At 59.1% G+C, this 18,623-nt stretch overlaps 1 protein-coding gene across 5 annotated transcripts in view, besides 6 other annotated features; it reads right to left on the bottom strand.

Moving 5' to 3' along the window:
* Positions 1-18,623, bottom strand: part of KCNQ1 (potassium voltage-gated channel subfamily Q member 1) — a 404,098-nt gene that overhangs the window by 311,443 nt on the left and 74,032 nt on the right. For 4 of the 5 annotated variants that reach the window (NM_000218.3, NM_001406836.1, NM_001406838.1 and 1 more), the window contains exon 2: positions 9,645-9,735. In NM_000218.3, coding sequence (NP_000209.2) covers positions 9,645-9,735 — 91 coding nt within the window. Of the gene's footprint in view, positions 1-9,644; positions 9,736-16,092; positions 16,185-18,623 lie in introns of all 5 variants that reach the window. The other variant, NM_001406837.1, reaches the window with a different exon arrangement.
* Positions 1,607-2,107: an enhancer, noted in NCBI's record as "H3K27ac hESC enhancer chr11:2556786-2557286 (GRCh37/hg19 assembly coordinates)". NCBI's record gives its function as "activates a minimal SCP1, AML or CMV promoter by ChIP-STARR-seq in naive H9 embryonic stem cells {active_cell/tissue: H9 hESC(naive)}" and the evidence as "EXISTENCE:reporter gene assay evidence [ECO:0000049][PMID:30033119]".
* Positions 3,941-4,101: a silencer, noted in NCBI's record as "fragment chr11:2554792-2554952 (GRCh37/hg19 assembly coordinates)". NCBI's record gives its function as "represses an EF-1alpha promoter that drives an FKBP-Casp9 reporter gene in an ReSE screen in HepG2 liver carcinoma cells {active_cell/tissue: HepG2}" and the evidence as "EXISTENCE:reporter gene assay evidence [ECO:0000049][PMID:32094911]".
* Positions 4,858-4,967: an enhancer, noted in NCBI's record as "active region_4305". NCBI's record gives its function as "activates an Ori minimal core promoter by ATAC-STARR-seq in GM12878 lymphoblastoid cells {active_cell/tissue: GM12878}" and the evidence as "EXISTENCE:reporter gene assay evidence [ECO:0000049][PMID:35858748]".
* Positions 8,657-8,857: a silencer, noted in NCBI's record as "peak1163 fragment used in MPRA reporter construct". NCBI's record gives its function as "represses an SCP1 promoter by STARR-seq MPRAs in K562 erythroleukemia cells {active_cell/tissue: K562}" and the evidence as "EXISTENCE:reporter gene assay evidence [ECO:0000049][PMID:32103011]".
* Positions 16,951-17,450: an enhancer, noted in NCBI's record as "H3K4me1 hESC enhancer chr11:2541443-2541942 (GRCh37/hg19 assembly coordinates)". NCBI's record gives its function as "activates a minimal SCP1, AML or CMV promoter by ChIP-STARR-seq in naive H9 embryonic stem cells {active_cell/tissue: H9 hESC(naive)}" and the evidence as "EXISTENCE:reporter gene assay evidence [ECO:0000049][PMID:30033119]".
* Positions 17,451-17,952: an enhancer, noted in NCBI's record as "H3K4me1 hESC enhancer chr11:2540941-2541442 (GRCh37/hg19 assembly coordinates)". NCBI's record gives its function as "activates a minimal SCP1, AML or CMV promoter by ChIP-STARR-seq in naive H9 embryonic stem cells {active_cell/tissue: H9 hESC(naive)}" and the evidence as "EXISTENCE:reporter gene assay evidence [ECO:0000049][PMID:30033119]".

Raw genomic sequence — 18,623 nt, 5'->3', positions numbered from 1 at the left:
GAAACGTGCAGAGCAAATGGCAGAAGATGAAAGCCACTGCTGACCTGGCAGAGGGTGCCTGGGAGCTGCTCGTTCTGACAAGCCTGAGATTAAATCAAAATTCAGACACCCAGGAAGAAAGACACAGACTGTGGAACCAAAAGGCCCTGCGCCAACCTGGGCACTGTAGAAACGTGGGGCACGGTGGGCTGGCCCGGGGCACACGCTCTCCCACTTCTATTTTCCCAAAAAATAAAATTGTTACTAATTCGACTGCAAGTTTAAATGCCCCTAGCAACTGCTCTTTCCAAAATTATCCTGCTAAATAAATAGCGTGGCAAACCTTTCCTGGAAGGTCAGGTAGTAGAAATCTTAGGCCCTGTGGGCTGCATGGTCTCCATGGCAGGACTCAAATCTGCCATGGCACAAAGCAGCCAGAGGCATTAGGCCCTCAAGTATGTGGTGCTGTGTGCTAATAAAGCTTTATTTACACACACAGGGAGCCACCCTGTGGGCCATGGTTTGGAGACCCCTGGGTTGCCCTCAAATTCATATGATGAAGCCCTAATCCCCAGTACTCAGAGTAAGACCTTGTTTGGAAATGGGGTCCCTGCAGATATGATCAGTTAGGAGGGGGGTCACAGTGGAGTAGGGTAGCCTCCAATCCAGTAAGACTGGTGTCCTTACATAGAGGAGAAATTTGGCTCCAGACTCACACGCAGGGAGGATGCCCTGTGAGGTAAAGGGAGGGACTGGGGGGGATTGGGGTACTACATCTAGAAGACAGTTGCTAGCCACCCTCAGAAGCCGGGAGGGGCCTCAGAAGAACCAGCCCTGCCCACACCTGGGTCTCGGCCCTCCATCGTCCAGAGCTGTGAGAGGGCGACCTCCACGGTTTAAGCCGCCCAGCCTGGGGTCCCCCATCACGCAGCCCAGGTCGACTCTCGCGACCCACGTGGCTGGAGATAGGCCCAGCGGTCCCTCTGGCAGGCTGGGAGGGAGAGCCACGCCCTGTGTCCGGTTTTGAAGCCCAGCCTGGGAAGCCACTGCTGTGGCCCAAACCAGCTCTGTTGGGTTCCAGACCCGCCTGAGAGAGGGAGGTCCCAAGAAGCTGTAGCGGGTGGCCTCAAAATCACATGTTACCCTCCCGACCCTCAGTGTCTCGCTGGGAGGGCTCAGCATGTCTCCCCAGGTCCTCTGCCCCCACAGGCCAGGCAACTGCTGAGCCCTGCCAGCCACCCTGTGGGGCAGGGCAGCGCCAGCCTCCACTCCAACAAGGCACTCGGGGCACCCACCCCAGCCTCCCTTCCTTCCATAACTCTCGGGGGTTGAGCAATGGTGCACGAGAGACTCCTGTAAGAGCCGCAGGCAGTGCGGATGGTGTGTTTATCACCAAGTACAGGAAGCCTGGTGGGGCCGGAGTCTCTGCTGCAGCCTGGCACAGCAGGAAATTTCTAGAATCCCTTAACACCGTGGAGCCGCGGCCCAGCTGAGCGCCCCTGCTGCCCTGAGCCTGAGCTCCTGTCACAGGCAGGGAGCGGACCAGCCTTCCTTCAGCAGCCCCTGTCGCCGCGTGGCCTGTGCATGGGGCTGGGTGGCTGGGGACAGCAGCGGGTGTGCTCGGCAGAGCATGTGGCCAGTGAGGCTGGACCAAGGCTGTCCCGGGGGAACAGAACCACCGGGTCTTCATGCCATGCCCCGTGGGCCTCAGGCTCTGAGACTGTGGCTTCAGCAGCGCCCCTGCCCCCAGCTGTGCATCCCACACCCTGAAGCAGAACACTGGAGGCAGGGTGCCCATCACAAGCACTGGCTGCCTCCGGGGAGCAGCAGCGCCGGGGTTCCTCTCCTAAACAGCCCTCAAAGCAAGGCTGATCCTACGCCCAGCAAAGCGGCCTCAGAAGGGAGCATTTTGATGGATTCCCAGAGGCAGGGGGCCTGGTCCCAGGTCTTCAGGGGGTACCAGTCACCTGACCGCCCTCTCTCAGGTGCAGAGTGGGTGATAGAGATGCTTTCAGGAAGCTCTACGGCCAGCGCATGAGAGAGACGCCACAGGGCTCTGAAAGGCAGTGAGTGGGTTGCACAGGGCTCCCCAGGACCAGGAGCTCCTGGTGGATGGGGATTTCAACAGCTTCAGTGTCACTAAAGGGGAAGGCAGGAGGGACTTGTATCCGGTGGTCCTCAGTGATCAACACTGGGCTCCGGAGAGCCGGCCAAGTCACTTCTCCTGTCCCCACAGGGCAGTGGCTTCAAGTTCCGCTTGGTGGATTCTGAGCCTTTGTTCTTGGAACTCTTGCCGGGACATCAGGGGTCGACCCTGACCCGGGAGGAGCCTTGGCAGCTGAAGCTGGGTGGCAGCTGAAGTTCAGCCCACCTGGGTGTCCCCAGCTGCCCCAGACAGACACTTGGGCCTACCCTGCTCCACCTGCCCCTGGTCCACTTTCACCTTCGCTACCCTTACCCGCCCAAAGCCTGCAGGCCAGTGTCTAGCGTCCTTTCACCCTGAACAGGCTCCGAGAGCCTCTGTCTCCCTGGGGTGGGCTCCAGGCAGGTCTCAGGACAGATGAGTGAGAAGTTTCTCCTACAGGCTCATGGGGCAGTGACCTGAAGTCTGGCTGGGCAGAGCTGCAGGCCACCCCGTGCCCTGGGGGCTGTGCAGACAGAGGGCCCACATCTGTCAAGTCCTCTGGGCCTAGCTCCAGGGGCTCAGTGCAGACAGGAACCAGGGCTCCAGCCCGCACATACACAGGGCCCTGCAGTGAGGATCCCAGGGGTGCGGAATCTCAGTCCAGCTCTGCCTTTCATGAGCCCATGGGCTGCTTGCACATAGATCCTGGCACACAGTAGGTGCTTAATAAAGATTTGCTGGCTGAACAAATGCAGGCGGAAACAACCCTGCCAGGGAGAAGACGACCGCGTTCTGAAGCCTCAGAGTGGCCTGGGTGGTGGGGACCGGTCTTAGCTGGGTAGCTCCCAAGTGACAGGGACAAAAAGGCAAGTGAGCCCACAGGCCCACAGAGGGACACAACTCTTCCCAGAGCACCCTGCAGCCCTGAGGAGGGAGTGGGTACCCCCGTCCCTGGGCAACCAGTCTAGTGGGGAGTTGCCCCCGAAGCAAGTGTGCAGGACGGGGCTTCGTCAGACCCATAGGAGCTCACCAGGCAGGGCGAGGCAGGCAGGGAGGAAGACAACCCTCAGCGGGCGGCAGCTGCAGAGGGAGTCAGACCTCGGGGTGGGTGGAGGAAAATCCTGAGTCACCCACTGGTTCCCCAACCTGGGCAAAGGTGCCTTTGCTCTGCGTCTTTTCCCGGCAGCGGCAGAAATGGTGCTGCGGGAAACCGCCCCAGGCCGTGCGCAGAGCAGGCTCCTCATCAGAGCAGCTGCGGGTCCCAGGTGAAAAACACCAGGTGAGGACCTGCGGGCCTGCGGGCGCCCTGAGCAAGTGGAGGCCAGGGCGCTGAGGACAGGACCCGACCTTGTTCCACAGAGAGGGCCGCCCAGGGCCGTCACGGAGGCCCAGAGACTCCCTACAGGGTCTCACTTTGCTGCTGGGAGGGAAACTGAGGCCTTGCTCTGAGCTGGGAGGGAAACTGAGGCCTCGCTGTGTGCTGAAGGCGCAGCAGAAACCCAGGCAGTGGAGGCTGCAGCTGGCGGGAGGGGTGGGCCACCGGGCGGGGCGGAGGGAGCCTCAGCAGAGGGGAGGAAGCCGCAGCGATGACCTCATCCCCTAGGCCTCCGGGGCCGCAGCTCACGGGGTTTTTTAACCACAGGCATTGCAGGACAATTCCCTGGTATGTTCACCACCAAAGGCGCGGACTAGCCGTGTTTGTGTTGTGCTTTTGAGTGCCTCTCTCTTTGTGTGGAGTTTGACAAAAGCTGTGATCCTGGAGACAAAAGCCAGGCCCTCACCTGGGCCAGGGCAGGGTCTCTTACTGCAGAGAGCAGGGGGCCAGTTTCTAGCAGCAGCTGGCTTCGGCAAGAAACAGGAGAGCCACCCAAACCGGGAACTCCTTCCCAGGCAAGAACACGCAAAGCACACACACGTCAGACACACGTGTGCACACACACACCAGGCATATGTGTACGCATGTGCGCACGGAGCTACCCACAGGCACGCACACGTACACTGAGTGCACACATGCACACGTGTGCCACTTCCACAGACATGGGTACACAGACGTGCACATGCACGTACGTACACACGTGCACACACAGCCCCCTCTGAATTCAGAAGCCAGGTTGGGGCCCTCTTTGCAGCCCAGGAAGTGGCTCTCCTCCCTGGGAGGCCTTGAGGAAATCTCCCTGCCCAGCAGATTTCCGACGTGGTGTTCACGTGGTGTTCACGGTGCCGGCCGGACCCCAGCCGAGACCAGATTCCTCCCGAAATGGCTTTTTCAGGCCCACCGCATATCCCTGGTTCAGCAGAATGCCTAATCCCTCCGAGGCCGCGCTGGGGTTTCCTTAGCAGTGCTGAGATAACAGCTTTCTGGCACTGCAAAGCTGGGCGTACGAAAAGAAACGAGAAAACAGGGGCTCCCTGGGAACACATCGCTTTGATCCATTTTTTCCCCCAACATTTAAACATCGTGCTCTCGGAATCCCTCATGCGGGTCCTGCACCCGCCCGGCCCCTCCTGGGTTCCCCAAGGCTGTGGTTTGGGCTCCCCGCGCTCAGCACTCCTTGGCGGGTGCCAGCAGCTCCTGAGTTGCATGTAGCACGAGCGCCCTCTGGCGTCTACAGGCCTTCCCGCCGCCTGGCCCCAAGGGCTGCAAACACCTTTGCTTCTCGTACCTCCCCGAAGCGCCCCCAACCGTCCTTCCTGCAACCCTGCACAGCCTCCCTCTGCTGGAATCAAGAACCCAACAGCCGTCCTCACTCCTCCAGGCCTGAAGCCTCGGGAACCTGCTGTCAGGTGACTTCTGCCTGTGCTCTGATCCCCACAGCCCTGTGCCTGCTGTCCGCTGGAAGCTGTGAGCCCTGGGAGGGGTCCCTGCCTGCCCCGCCAGCACCAGCTTACCTCCTTCTCACTGTGCCCCTCCCACCTGAGCGCCCCCTCCTCCAAGCAAGTGGTCACTGTCTCCCCACCCAGAGCCCACGCCTCAGTCTCGGCCCTGATGTGTCTGTACATCCGCCTGTCAAGGCCAGGCCCACGGCTGCCTCACTCTCTGCTGTGTCCCCAACGTGCCCCCACCATGGCCATGACTGAGTGACAGCTGGACCCTCAAATCCCCTTGAAGGATTTGTTTCCACGCGGCCAGTGCTTCGAGAGACTGCTGGGAAGTGTGGCAAGGCGAGTGGGAGGGTGTCTCCATCACGCAGGGGCAGCTGAAGCCGGGAGCACATACCAAGCTGGGTCATCCTCGCTGGGCAACTCTGGCCTATGCATTTGATGCAGGGAGGGACATGCACGGCCAGGAAGCGCCATGCAGAGCTTGTGGGGTTAGCGCAGCCACGGGGTCCCACCCTCAGGGAGTGTGGAATGGCCTGAGGCAGACAGATGCTTGTGAGCCTCCCAGAGCCCCATGAACCCAGAACAGGGCAGGTCGGCGGGGATGGTGTGCAGGATAGTGCCAAGCAGAGGCCTGAAACCTGACAAGAGGCTGAGTGCTGACACTCCCGAGGACAGCCAGGTCCAGAGAAGAGGGCTTGCAAAGGCCCTGGGGCAGCCAGGAATGTCCAAGGCTTGGCCTGGAGTGAGTGAGCCCAGGCTGGGTGAGGTGGGGTGGGTAGTGTTACAGGTGATGGGCCTGAACGTGGCACCACCTTGGGGAATGTAGCCTAAACGTCACAGGGAGCTTCTGGAATGATCAGGTTTTTGTCTTAGAAAGTCCTCCCCAGCTGCTGTTTGCAGGGTTGCCTGGTGAGACGCAAGGTGTGGCAGGGAGGCAGCTGGCATGACAGATAAAGGGACAAGGGAGGCGGCCAGGGTCTCTCTGCCTTCCAAGCAGTGGAAAAGGCAGAGGGGACTGCAAGGGGGACTACAGCAGAAAGGGGGCTCTATGCTTGGGGCCACGGGCTGCTTCTCTGCCATGCCACCCCGGAGGAGAGGGAGCTGCAGGGCAGTGAAAGGGCCGGTTCCTGCTGACCAGGGGTTTGTGGCCACAGTTCAGCAAATAGCCACCAGGTGGCGCACAGACCCCAGGGATGCGCAGACAGTGGGCAGGGCTGCTGGGATGAGGACCATCTTGGAGGCTTCCCTGGGGGCACAGCTCAGCACTGTGTAGGGTCTGCCCTCCTGCCTGGGCAGGGCTGCATCCTAGGGAGCAACCCTACCTGGTCTGCTCCATGCCCCTGTCCCCTGCCTGGTTTAGATGCCGCATGGGGGCCTTGGGGTGCTGCTGGTGATTCTAGGGCTGCAGACGGGCACATGAAGCCCAGGGCACGTCTAATTCTCGAGCTGCAGACGGGCATGTGGAGCCCAGGGCACGTCTAATTCTCGAGCTGCAGACGGGCATGTGGAGCCCAGGGCACGTCTAATTCTCGAGCTGCAGACGGGCATGTGGAGCCCAGGGCACGTCTGAAGGTCCCTGCAGGTCCAGCCTGGGTGCAGGCTTCTCCAGGCTTCGCCCTCCCAGCTGCCTGGGAGATAACCACCTAGGAAGTGAGGACCTGAACTTGGACGCTGTGGTGCTGACAGACAGCCCTGGCTGGGCAGGAGCACCTGGGTGGGCTCACGTTAGCACCGGGGCTCCATTTAAAACCAGGCAAGTCCCAGGCCACCTGGGGGCGAGGGGCTAACCACCTAGATCCAGGTTAGTACGTGAGGGATGGGACAGGCAGGATCTCACGTCTCACACACAGCACAGGCATGAACACACGTACATACACATAGGTACACACACGCAGCGACACATAGCTATACATAAATACACACAACACAGCCATGCATAAACATACAATACATGCTCACAGGCGCACACTACAATGTGCCTATATGTGGCCACATTCACACATGTACACGCTCAGATACACATGTGCACACATGTACACACATTGAAACAGAGCCAAACATGCGTGAAAGTCCCCACGTGCTCATGTGTATGCACACTTACATAATACTCAGATACAGATGCACACTTAAGCACACAGCTCACCCATAAACACGCACATGCGTGTACACATTCCCGTGCATGTGGGCACTCACATACACACATGTACACACACCTGCAGAGGTACAAAGGGCCTCACACGGAGACTCTCCAGGGGAATGTTTGGCAGCGCGGCTCTCACAGCCTGGGAACCACTGGCATCCTTGGCCCCAGGCCCTCCAGGGACAACTACCAGGTCAGGGACCCCCCACAGACCCGCCCCATGGCAGAACCAGCAAAGGACATGCCGTGCCCACTCCTGCAGTTGAGCCAACCCTGTCAGTTGGCCGGGGCAGAACATCCTCCTGCTAGACATGGCCAGAGACTTGGCTGGGTGCTCATCTGAGAGCCAGGTCTGTGGTGGGTGAGGAGGACTTGGGGATCCTGGGCAGGTACCTTGGGGACCCCATAAAACATGAGGCCCATGCTGCCAAGGGTATTGGACATCGCCCTGTGGGGGAAGGACGGCCTCACCCCAACCAAGATGGCACCACAAGATGACACACACACCCCACTTCACAGGGCAGTGCAAAAGTCTGAACAAAGCATGAGAGTACAATGTGATAGGACATGAAACTCACACGCCAGGACCAAGGGGGTTTATTCCAGGAAGGCAAGGGGGGCCCCTCACTGACAGGAGCACCTCACAGAAGCAGGAAAGACCCCTGACCAGAATCCACATGGTCACCGTAAAACCACGCCAGGCATCGGACCTGAAGGACCCTTCCTGAGCACGGGAGGTGCGCACCCCCCGCCTGGCAGCCGGCCCGCCCACAGAAGCCAGGAGGGCCCCGCTGGCCGCAGGTACCACCCCCAGCTCTGGACAGACCCAAGCAGCAATCTGCCCTCCTGGAAGGCATCCCTTATCTGGAAACGCAAAAGATGCAAAGGACAGAGGGAAAAACTTCTACGACCACAGTCACGAGAAGTAGCAGGACCACAGGCTGTAGCAGAAATTAACAGCTTTCGCAGACGCCAGGAAAGTGCCTGGAAAACATGATAGACTAGAAACTCCCTATGTGATGGCAACAATAACAACTTATTCTCTCAATATTATTATGATGAGGAATAGACTTAAACTGCCTGCAATCTACATAATGAAACCATAAAATGCTGCCCATAAACACACACACCATGCTCCTGGAGACCACCGAGATGTCAGTCTCCCCCAGTTTATTCACCCGCGGCCTTCGAGTTTCTTCCCGGGGCTGGATAAGGTGATGGCAACGTTCACTGGGAAAAGCAAGGCTGCAAGCGCCACCAGGAAACCCCCGAAAAAGAAAGCCCTGCCGAGGCACAAAGTGACATCATGAAATTGATTTTAGTACCGGGACCACCAAGTCAGTAGGGCCCTGGTAAAGGAAAAGTCCAGGAGACCAGTGGGACAGAATAGAAAAACCCCAAAGCAGACCCTTCCTACTGCCTCTGGACGTCTGGTTTACAGAGAAGACGGCCCCTCCAGTCAGGCAGGACAGATGGACTGTGGAAAACATAGTGCTGGGAGAACTGGGAAGACGAGGGAAGAGTGACAGCAGGCCTGTGCCTCACACCACTTACCCAGGAAACTCCCAGCCACCATGGAGCACACACAGTTAACCTGGTCAGGGCTGGAGGAAACCACAGGTGAGTTCTTCCAGCTATGGCTCAAGGTCCAGAAGCAACAAAGGAAAGGTAAAACGGACTCCCTAGAAATGAGACGGATACCACTGCCGAGGCCATCGCGAGAGGACTCTGGACCCCGGAGGGACGGGCTCCCCTGGCCAGGAAGACACAGTGCCAGAAAGCAGCATGAAACCAGCCCAGATCTGCCTGTGCATGCCGGGAGCTGAGTCGTGACACTCTCTTCCTTTGTAGATACTAGAACTATTCCACGACAAGACAGGAAAACACAAAAGCCTGGCCACGGAGAGGTGCTAGACCCAGTCCTGCCAGAGTCCTGCTGCTCACGGCCCACATTCAGGTGGCTTCCGTGGGGACCCCGTGGGCTCCAGACACAGCTGGCCCCCTGCACCCCACCTTCCAGGCAGCCTCACGGCCAGATCAACTTTGGGGTTTCCCACCAGGCTATGAGCCTGCCCTGCCCTGCTCTCAGCACCTGCCTGGCAGAAATGGCACAGACACCGCTCAGGCCAATGGAAGGGACCATCCAGGTGCCTGGGGTGGGGGCTGCTGCTGGGACACCAGCAGGGCCTGTGTGCCAGCCATAACCCAGGAACAGAGTCACCCAGACCCCAGGGACACGAAGGCTCGGGCAGGCCTTTGCTGGCCACACCAGCTCTACCCTACCTCCTCCTTCCTTCCTTCCAGCCCAGCCTGGAAGCCCCTCCTCCAGGAAGCCCTTTCAGACCACCAGCTCCAGGTTCCCCTCAGTCCTTGGTCCCCCTCGCCTGTGGCACATACATCCCAAGTCACTTGGCAAGTGTGGGGGCTGGGGAGGTGCCCCCTGTATCAGGGCAGGACCAATGTGTGGGCAAGGGGCTGGGAGTGGCTCTGCCCCCCACCTTATGGGGCCCAGCGCCAGGGAGATGCCAGCTTCCAAGGCAGCCATGACATCCAGCCATGCCCTCAGATGCTACGTACCATCCAGAAGAGAGTCCCCGTGGCCAGGGCGGCATACTGCTCGATGGTGGACAGCACGCTGAAGATGAGGCAGACCAGGACGATGAGGAAGCTGCAAGACAGGGACACGGCAGTCAGCATCACGGCCTCTGCCCATCCCACAGATGCACCTGGGGAGTGGAGGGGCCCCTGGCCTCAGCCCCGCCCCCAGGTAGGAACAGACAGTGCTTCGAAAACCCAGTCATCCATTAGCTGGTAAGCACACACTAGAGGTAGGTCCGCACGAGGGATGCCGTCCCGCCACGGGAAGGGACGAAGCACCAACACATGCTGCCACGTGGATGGGTCCGAGAAACATGGCGCCAAGGCCAGACACAGACAGGTGACCACCTGCTGACCACCTGCAGTGTGGCTACGCCCTGGACAGCCAGAGCCACAGAAACAGAAAGCAGGCTGGTGGCTGCCCCAGGGCGGGACTGCTGTGGGCGTGGGGTTTTCTTTTGGGGTAATTAAACGTTCTGGATGTGGATGGTGGTGGTGGCTACACAACTCTGAACATTCTAGAGCCACTTAGGGCCCTAGAGCCACAAATGAACTGCAGTGTGTAATTACGTCTCTACAAAGCTGATTTTACAAATCACTTCCAGAGAGCAGTCAACGCCCCCTGTCCAGGAGTTCAGGGCCCAGGGCAGGGGTGTTGGTGGTCACAGCACAGAAGCCAGCCCGCCAGGTGGGGGTCCTGACACCTGCACCAAGCGTCTGCTTCCCAGAGGAGCCTCCAGGCGGCAGGCTGTGGGCCGCTCTCCTCCAGTTTCACTTCCTCCTTTCCAAGGCCCCGAGGCCGAGCCACAGAACTCATGAAAGGGAAGGCGCACAGAGCCCCACCCTGGGGCCAACGTTCTGGGCCTGTGGGCCCGCAGAGAAAAGACGGGCCGCCTTCTCTGATCGCCGGAACCATAAAGATAGGGAGCTGCTGCCACTGCAAACGTACCCTCCAGGGCCCGCCCGGCCTTCCTCCCGCCTCTAGGGGGATTCCCACGGGCTCCGGAGACTCCAGGGACCCCCGTGGATCCTCAGCGACCGGAGAGCCAGGAGATGGCCACATGGCCCCCAGGGCCAGGGGAGACACAAACAGAGAAAGCCACACACAGACCCTGGGGGCCCCGGCATAGATCCTCTGCCTGGCATAGGGTGCCCCAGGCTCCCTCCGCTCCCTGAGATCCTGCCATCCTGAGTGGCTTCTAACCCACCCCAGGACAGCCAGAAGGCCCCCTGCATTGCCTCTCATCCAGCCTCCTGAAGTCAGCCCCACCCAGAACCCATCCTCTTCCACCTGTCCAGATGTGGACAGCCCAGCCCACCCTCCCCAGGCCCCCAGAGCCCACAACAAACAGGCTACCTCCCAGCACAGCCTGCCTCGGCTCATCCTCCTGCTGCACGGAGGTTTCTGGGGAAGGTGGGGCTCTGGCCCCCCACCCCCTTCCCCAAGCTCCTGTGGACAGGACAATCCTTTCCTGGCCTCTGGTAGCCCTACCCAAAGGCCCTTGAGGGCTCACTCAGCCAAAGACCCTGCTCAGGCCCCCTCCCTGGGTTCCTCCCTCCCCACAGCCATAGTCCCGCTGCTGGGACTGGGGCCAAAACCTGCAGCTACCATTTCCTCAGCCACCTGCCTCACCGACACCCTGTCCCTGCCACACCGGTCAGCTCTACCTGCAGAGCCGAACCCAGCCAGCCCCTGTCTGCACCCTGCCCATCCATCCTCATCTCCCCCTGACCACAGTGCCCACCTCCACCCTCGGCGCCCCCAGCCCACACACCCAGCCAGTCAGTGAACCCTCCATGTCGTGCCCCAGTATTTACACCACGATGGCCCCAGATCACCCCAGCTCCTCCCGGCCCTTGTTGCCAGTCCTGACTGTGCCCAGCCCGGCCCACCTCAGGGCCCGTGCACCTGCTGCTGCCCAGCCTAAAAGCCCAGCTTGAGGGTCCTGCCAGCGGGCCCTGTCTCATAGGCAGAGGCCAGCTCTGATGTCTGACCCTGGCCCCCACAACACCCCAACTGTGTCCTTTATACTCAAGCATCATCGCTGGGACCAGAGTCTGTTGTCCACCCCCTAGACCATGAGCACCCCAAGAGTGGGGCTGTGGGCTGCAGTCCATGCCCGGGACGCAGCCTGGTGCACAGTAGGTGATCAGCCCCGTGGGACTTCCTTCATTTAATCTCTAAGCCCCAATGCTGCTGCTTCATCCCCACCACCATGACCCTTCCTCTGCTCCCTGAGGTTACTCCCCCACTGGGACATTCGACCCAAAGCACAAGTCTGATCAGCCACGTGGTTCCCAGGAGCACCTGGAAGGCTGGCATGCAGCCCTACCCCTCCTTGGGCCTCAGTCCCCCTGACTCCCGCCTGCCCAAAGCGCTGGCTGCATAAGCTGCCTGGCATTTGCAAACGCGGTGCTTCCAGCCAGGGACGCTCTCTGCACCCCCACCCTCCACACTGCTTTGGCTCTGAGGACTCCTCCTGGCCAGCTTGGACAGGATGTCCAGGCCCTGCCAGGCTCCCTCTGGGTGCTCCTACACTGACCACCCCTGCTCTCATCTGTCTCTGGGACTATAATCCGCACAGCGCTAGCACGCGGTGGATGCAGAGTAATTTGTTCAACAGACACAGCTGGAGCCTCCGGGCCAACCCTGTGGGGAGCCCTCCGTAGGGTGAATCTGTGGATCTCACGGGGACACAAGCAAAGGTTGGTTGGAAGGGTGAGTGCCCATCTGCACTGGGCACCATTCCGGGCACTGGGAATGGGCTCAGACTGGCTCACCTTGCACACAGCATGCTGCCCACTGCCGGAGCAGGGTTCCCTCCAGGTTCTTAGAAGAGTCTTTGTGCCAAGCTGCAGGCCCTGTCCCCACACCCTGCAGCCCCCAGGGCTGGGCTGGGTCTCTGCCCCTTGCTGGTGCAACTGTTGGCTCTCTCCACCCTACCAGGGCTCCCTCCGCCATGACTGCCACACTTAATCCTCCTGGACGTCTGTTTGTTTTGATTTGCAGTGAGCAGGGAAGTGAGATTAGACACAGCCTGGCTCAGCCACGAGGAAGCAGAGCCGGGCTGCCCGGGGCAGAAGATGCCACCTGCCTGCTCCCCAGGCCCACGGCGTGCAGAGAGGGCCAGGGCACCATCTGCACATGGAGATGCAGTGCCCACTGGTGACCCAGGCAGCTCCCCTGCCTCAGTTTCCTTATCAACACAAAGAAGTGGCCCACAGGTGCTTCTTCCCAGGCTGTGGAGGGAAGTGTCACCTGACGTCCAGCAGGGAATCAGCAGCGAGCGTCGACTTCACCCTGAGGCCTTGGATAAGCCGGAAGCTGCCAGTGCTGTCTACTGCAAAGATGTGGCAAAACCCACCACCCACCAGGGGCCCTGGGAAGGATCCACTAAGTTGCTGTCTGTTCAGCAACAGGAAGTGCTCCTGGGGACTGCAGGCCACTGCCCGCTACCCACGCCCCTGCTCACTGACCACTGGCCCAGCCAGTGCTTTGCAGACAGTAACACAGACCCCCACGAGACCCTGCCAGACTGTGACATCACTGCCACACTATCATCAAACACATGCTACAAGTAGGGAAACTGAGGCTCCAAGGGCTTCTGAGGTCACAATTGGGGTAAACTGAGGAGGAGACACAGGACTGCAGCCTGGTTCCCTGACCCGGCATGGCTGGGGTCCCTGGAGGCTGGGCCCTGGGCCCCTTTGACCCTCGGTATGAGACGACTTGCCAGGCTCTGGTCTTGGTGCACGTGAGCAGGGATAGGGCTGCGGTGAGGGTGGCACAGCAGCTTTCCCGTCGCCGAGCCTGGCTTCCATCCTCCCGTCTCTTCCTCCAACTCAGATCCTCCTGCTTCTCTTAGAAGAATCCTCACAATCACAGTGAGGGCTCACCCGGGTAACCCAGGACAACCTCCCCTCTCACGAGCCATCCCTCAGTCACCCTGCAAAGCCCCTTTGGCCACACAACCTAACTTGTTCACAGGACAAGGACACAGACACCTCAGGGGCCACCGTTCAGCCAAGCGACAGCCATGTCTGCGAGTCATGCACCCGAATCCACGCCACTGCCCCAGCCTCTCAGTGACCTGCACGGAAGGCGCTGCACTCCCCCCACTCTCAGATGAGCAAATGGAGGCCTGAGGAGGGAAGGGGGCCATGGGCAGGACCCAGGTCTGCTGACCCTGCAGCCTCCAGGCCCAGGTTGAAAGCTTTAAACTTTCAAAAAAAAAAAAAAAAAAAACTGTAAACTTCCTCCAAGGCAGAGGCGAGCGAACAGAATTACCTGCAGCTCCTCTGCCCTTCACAGGGGCACCGTGATGCAATGTGGAAGCTGAGATAACCCCACTTCACAGCTGCCCTTCTAAAAGACCACAGGCGACGCTGCCTTCTGCATCTGCCATCACGGCTTTTCGATTCTCGTGCTGTTTGGGTGACAGCCGTCCATCACAGTGGCAGTTGGTGACCTCGGCCACAGCATAGAAAGCAGTGGTGGGGCCGGGCGCGGCGGCTCACACCTGCAATCCCAGCACTTTGGGAGGCCGAGGCGGGAGGATTGCCTGAGGACAGGAGTTCGAGACCAGTCTGGCCAACATGGTGAAACCCCGTCTCTACTAAAAATATGAAAAAATTAACTGGGCGTGGGTGGTGGTGTGCTCCTGTAATCCCAGCCACTCAGGAGATTGAGGCAGGGGGATTGCTTGAACCAGGGAGGTGGAGGTTGCAGTGAGCCGAGATCGCGCCACTGCACTCCAGCCTGGGTGACAGAGCAAGACTCCACCACAAAAAAAAAAAAATTAAATTAAATTAAAAAAGAAAGCAGTGATGGATGCTGGTTAGCACCATGTGCAGGGTGGGCACTCACAGGCCGCAGGTGAGGGCTTGAAAACTTGGTGACTGGCTGCAAATACCACGCGCCTGGGCTTCATGGCGCGGATTCCAGCTGCAGGGGCCTCTCCTGCCCATGTCCTGTGCTCAGGAGACACAGCTGGCTCAGATATGTGGAGTTACTGCAGCAGGAAGATTCTTGACTGGGCGTTGCGGGAGAATACAGGATGTGGCCAGGGAAGACTGCACATGGGTGGTCCTGGACCAGCCCCCACAGAGTGTGCACCCAAGTGGGCGTCCACCCCAACTACCTGGGCAGAGGTGCCTGGGAAAGTCCCGTGCAGTGGAATCGCGGCTGAGGCAGAAGACAGGGCTCCAGGCCCGGGGGTTGGGAGCCAGCAGGGGCTGAGGAACGTTCCCCCGCAGGCCAGGCAGATGGTGGGGACAGGTGCCCATGGGCCAGGCTGGCTGTCAGCCTTGCCATATTCTGAAGGCTAAATGATTCTTCCGATATTTTGATATACCGTGCTAGCCTCAGAAGGAATTATATGACAAAGCTTACTTTTATCTACTCCAGATAAAAAGAGTTTTATCTTATTTACCGCTTTATCTATTCTTGTCTCGGGCGGAGCTGGGAACCTCACAGGTGCCGAGCTGGGGTCCCTGCCCTTGAGGCACTCAGGGCCTGGGGTGCCTGTGTCCCCTCCTGCCTCTGCAGGGCCACCTACCACCCCCTCTGCCTCAGCTCCAAGGCCAGGCAGTCACAGCCCCCCACTCTGCAGAGCCGGGAAACTAAGGCCCTGGGAGAGGACGAATCCTATGCGTGTTTTGGACTCGGAGTGGGAAGCAGGACAGGCTAGCGAAGGGGTGGGGGAGAGAAGACACCGACCCCCCCCCAGCTCATGTGGTCCCCTGAATGCTGTCCCACCCGAGCTCCCAAGAGGGCGTGGTCATGCGGGGGGCGGGGAGCTGCATGAGCGGGGAGCCCACCGCACCCCAGAAAACAACCTCCTACTTGTTCCCCTTGACAGCAAATAGGCCTCAGGAGCAGTGACGGCGAGTACCAGCCCCGAAGGCACCCGGTGAATTATCCGACATCATTTCAACATCTCAGCCCCGGGTGCCCGGGAACACAGGAGAATGCAGGAACCCTGCCAGGGTCATAGCCCGAGACGCTGTGGGAGGGCTCCCCCGGGGTGCAGGCAGCGGGCCTGGGTGGGCTCCACGGCTCAGATGGCCTGGGGCTAACGCGAGCTGAAGGCTGGAGACTCCATGACCTGCCCTGCCGCACACACTAGGGCCCCTGAGTGGTGCTCCTAAATGGGCCTGGTTGATCCAGGTGACCCGCCAAGCAAATCCAGTCCGGGTGGGGGCTGTGCCGGGACTCTGGCCTTCCATGCCCACTCGGGGACAGGCCCCACACACAGTGAGTGACAGCCTCTTTAGCCCATGGGGGGCGTTTTGTAACCCTGAGATGTTTCCCAATAAAGTTGAGGAACCTTAAAGAGAGCCACCTACTTCACGTGCAAAGACACGTGGGCAGCTCAAGGGGTGCCCTTAGAACTCCAGCTGGAAGCCACTGCACCATGGAACTCACCCAGGGTCGAAGCTGAAACCCCGGGGCGTGTAACCACTGGAGCGTTTCACAGAACTTTGCACTCTCGTGACCGTATGCTTAATTTCTTGAATCTGTAAACATTAAAAATTACGTTAATACTTGAAGAGTTTTGTCAGTCTGAAAGCATCATGCATGGAAGGACATGAGCAGAGAGGCACCTTGAGGACACCGGATAACACACAGTGCCAGTCACAGAAGCGCAAAGGCCCAGAGCAGCGAAATCCACCGTCGCAGGGAAGCGGACAGCGGGGCCGAGGGAGAGGGGATCTGTGGACATGGGGAGGACGGATCCACGGTTGCGGAGAGCAGGATGGCGGGGCCGGGGAGAGGGAGTGGGATTTCATGGGTGCAGAATTTCAGTTTGGGAGAGAAGTTTTGGGGTGGATGGTGGTGACGGTTGCACAACCATGTAAATGTACCTATTGCCACTGGGCCGTGACCTGACACAGAGTTAAGACGGTAAATTGTGTGTTATGTGTATTTTATCACAATAAAAAAAAAACTTTTTTTAAAGCAAACAACATTCATAGAGCAAGCATCAGAGGGTTCAAAATGTTCCCCGTGGCTGGTGAATGAGATCGAGCAATGTTCAAAGACCCCTACTGGGGACGGGACCTCGCCAGGCTGATAAGCAGACAATGGGTTTGTGAAGCGAACCTAAAGCCGAAGGCAGGATAGGGCCTTGAATGTGTAACTTCAAGAGATTAAATATTGACGCTTAAACCCCAAACCACTTCTAGGGGCTTAAAAAAAAAAGTCATCCTGGGAGACTCCAAATGCCTCCAAATCCCATGTGCCCCAGGAAGGAAACACTGGGCGCTGGAGAGGACAGGCTTCCCCTGCTCACTCACTGGTCACCAGCAGGTCTCCCTCCATCCCTGATGTGGCTGCCGGCTCCAGGGCTGCTGAGCTCAGAGCCCTGGGATGTGGACGCCCAGGGGCAGAGGTCTCACAGCCTGCCAGGGCTGTTCCCCAGGGCTGAATCTGCACCTCAGAAAAAGCTACCAGCTGGTCACCCCCCTCACCAGTGGCTGTCACCCCCCTCACCAGTGGCTGTCAGCAGGCAGCCTCAGCAGGGTTTGGAGGTCGCCAAGGTCCCCACAGGTTCACCTGCTTCCTGGCTCTGCATGGATGGAGCCTGGGCCAGGCATCTCCCGACCCCTCCCAAAGGGGTGAGCCCTGGCCCACACCGAGGGCCCCACGCTGGGCTGGACACTAGGCACAGGTTCCCCGCTCTGAACCCCATGTGGAAGGTGTCACATCATGGAAGTCCTGGTGAGGAGACAGAAGCCCTGGTGAGGCACGTCTGGTCCCAGGCTGCCCCCCAGAAGCCCCCTGGATTGGGGTTCAGGAGGCACTACCAATCGATGGGGACACTGAGGCTCAGACACAGCATGGGACGTGCCCAGACTGGCCGACTCCAGGGGCCCCAGCGCCACCACTTGGTGCCATGGTCCTGAGGCAGGAATGCCACATCAGGCCATACGTCATCCTGGGGGGTGGGGGCGACAGGGCCCTTTTCAGCCTTCCAGCCTCTGCGGGCTCCCGCGTCCTGGGTGGGTGGCGGCATCACTCCCGTGCTGTGCAGCATGTGGCCGGATCCTCCTTTGTTGAATCTGTCCTGTCTTTTAGGAGGACACGTGTCACTGGACTTGGGCCCCCTGGATAATGCAATCACGCCTCTCGGGACCCTCAGCCTCAGCTGCAAAGGGGTGTTTTCTATGTCAGGTCACATTTGCAGCTTCCAGGGATGGAAACCAATGTTGTGGGGGGGGGCCAACACCTGCTGTACTATGTAAGTATTTAATACATTACTTATGATCACTATTGGTAGATTTTGAATTCTTAAACAACAGAATTAGGTATTGGTCAAAAACATATATTAGTTGTTGTTGTTTTTTGGTTTTTTGTTTTGTTTTGTTTTGTTTTTGAGACAGAGTCTTGTTCTGTCACCCAGGCTGGAGGACAGTGGTATGATCCTGGCTCACTGCAGCCTCGATTTCCTGGGCTCAAGCGATCCTCCCAACTCAGTCTCCCAAAGTGCTGGGATTACAGGCGTAAGCCACCATGCCCGGCCTCATGTCTTAATTTTTAAAACATAATTAAAAATGTACTCAAAGCTCAGAGTTTCCTTTTCATCCTCTCACCTCCAGATCCTTAATGGAATTGCATCTGAAAAAATTCTTTTAAAAAGAGGGTCACGTCCACGCCCACTGGTGTCAGCACAGGGACGCCTCTCTCACCATTCAGCCCACAGGGCATCACCCGAACCCTGTCATGTTGGAGAGAAGGGAGCTGGGGGTGGTGATTCCCGGCACAGGCGGGACATGGCTGGCCCATCTGCAGCAGGCAGCTGCCACGTCGGGAGTAGGTCCATGAGGCTCCCTAGCACCCCAGCCCTTCAGGGACCGCCACTTCTCACCAGAACGGCAACAGCTGCCCCCCAACCATTGCCCCTCAGGCCCCCACACAGCACCCTGTCTGCCATTGTCCACACTGCCCAGCTGGTT

Source organism: Homo sapiens, chromosome 11, assembly GCF_000001405.40.
Source record: "Homo sapiens chromosome 11, GRCh38.p14 Primary Assembly".
Classification (NCBI taxonomy): domain Eukaryota; kingdom Metazoa; phylum Chordata; class Mammalia; order Primates; family Hominidae; genus Homo; species Homo sapiens.
This window is presented reverse-complemented; position numbering and strand designations above follow the sequence as displayed.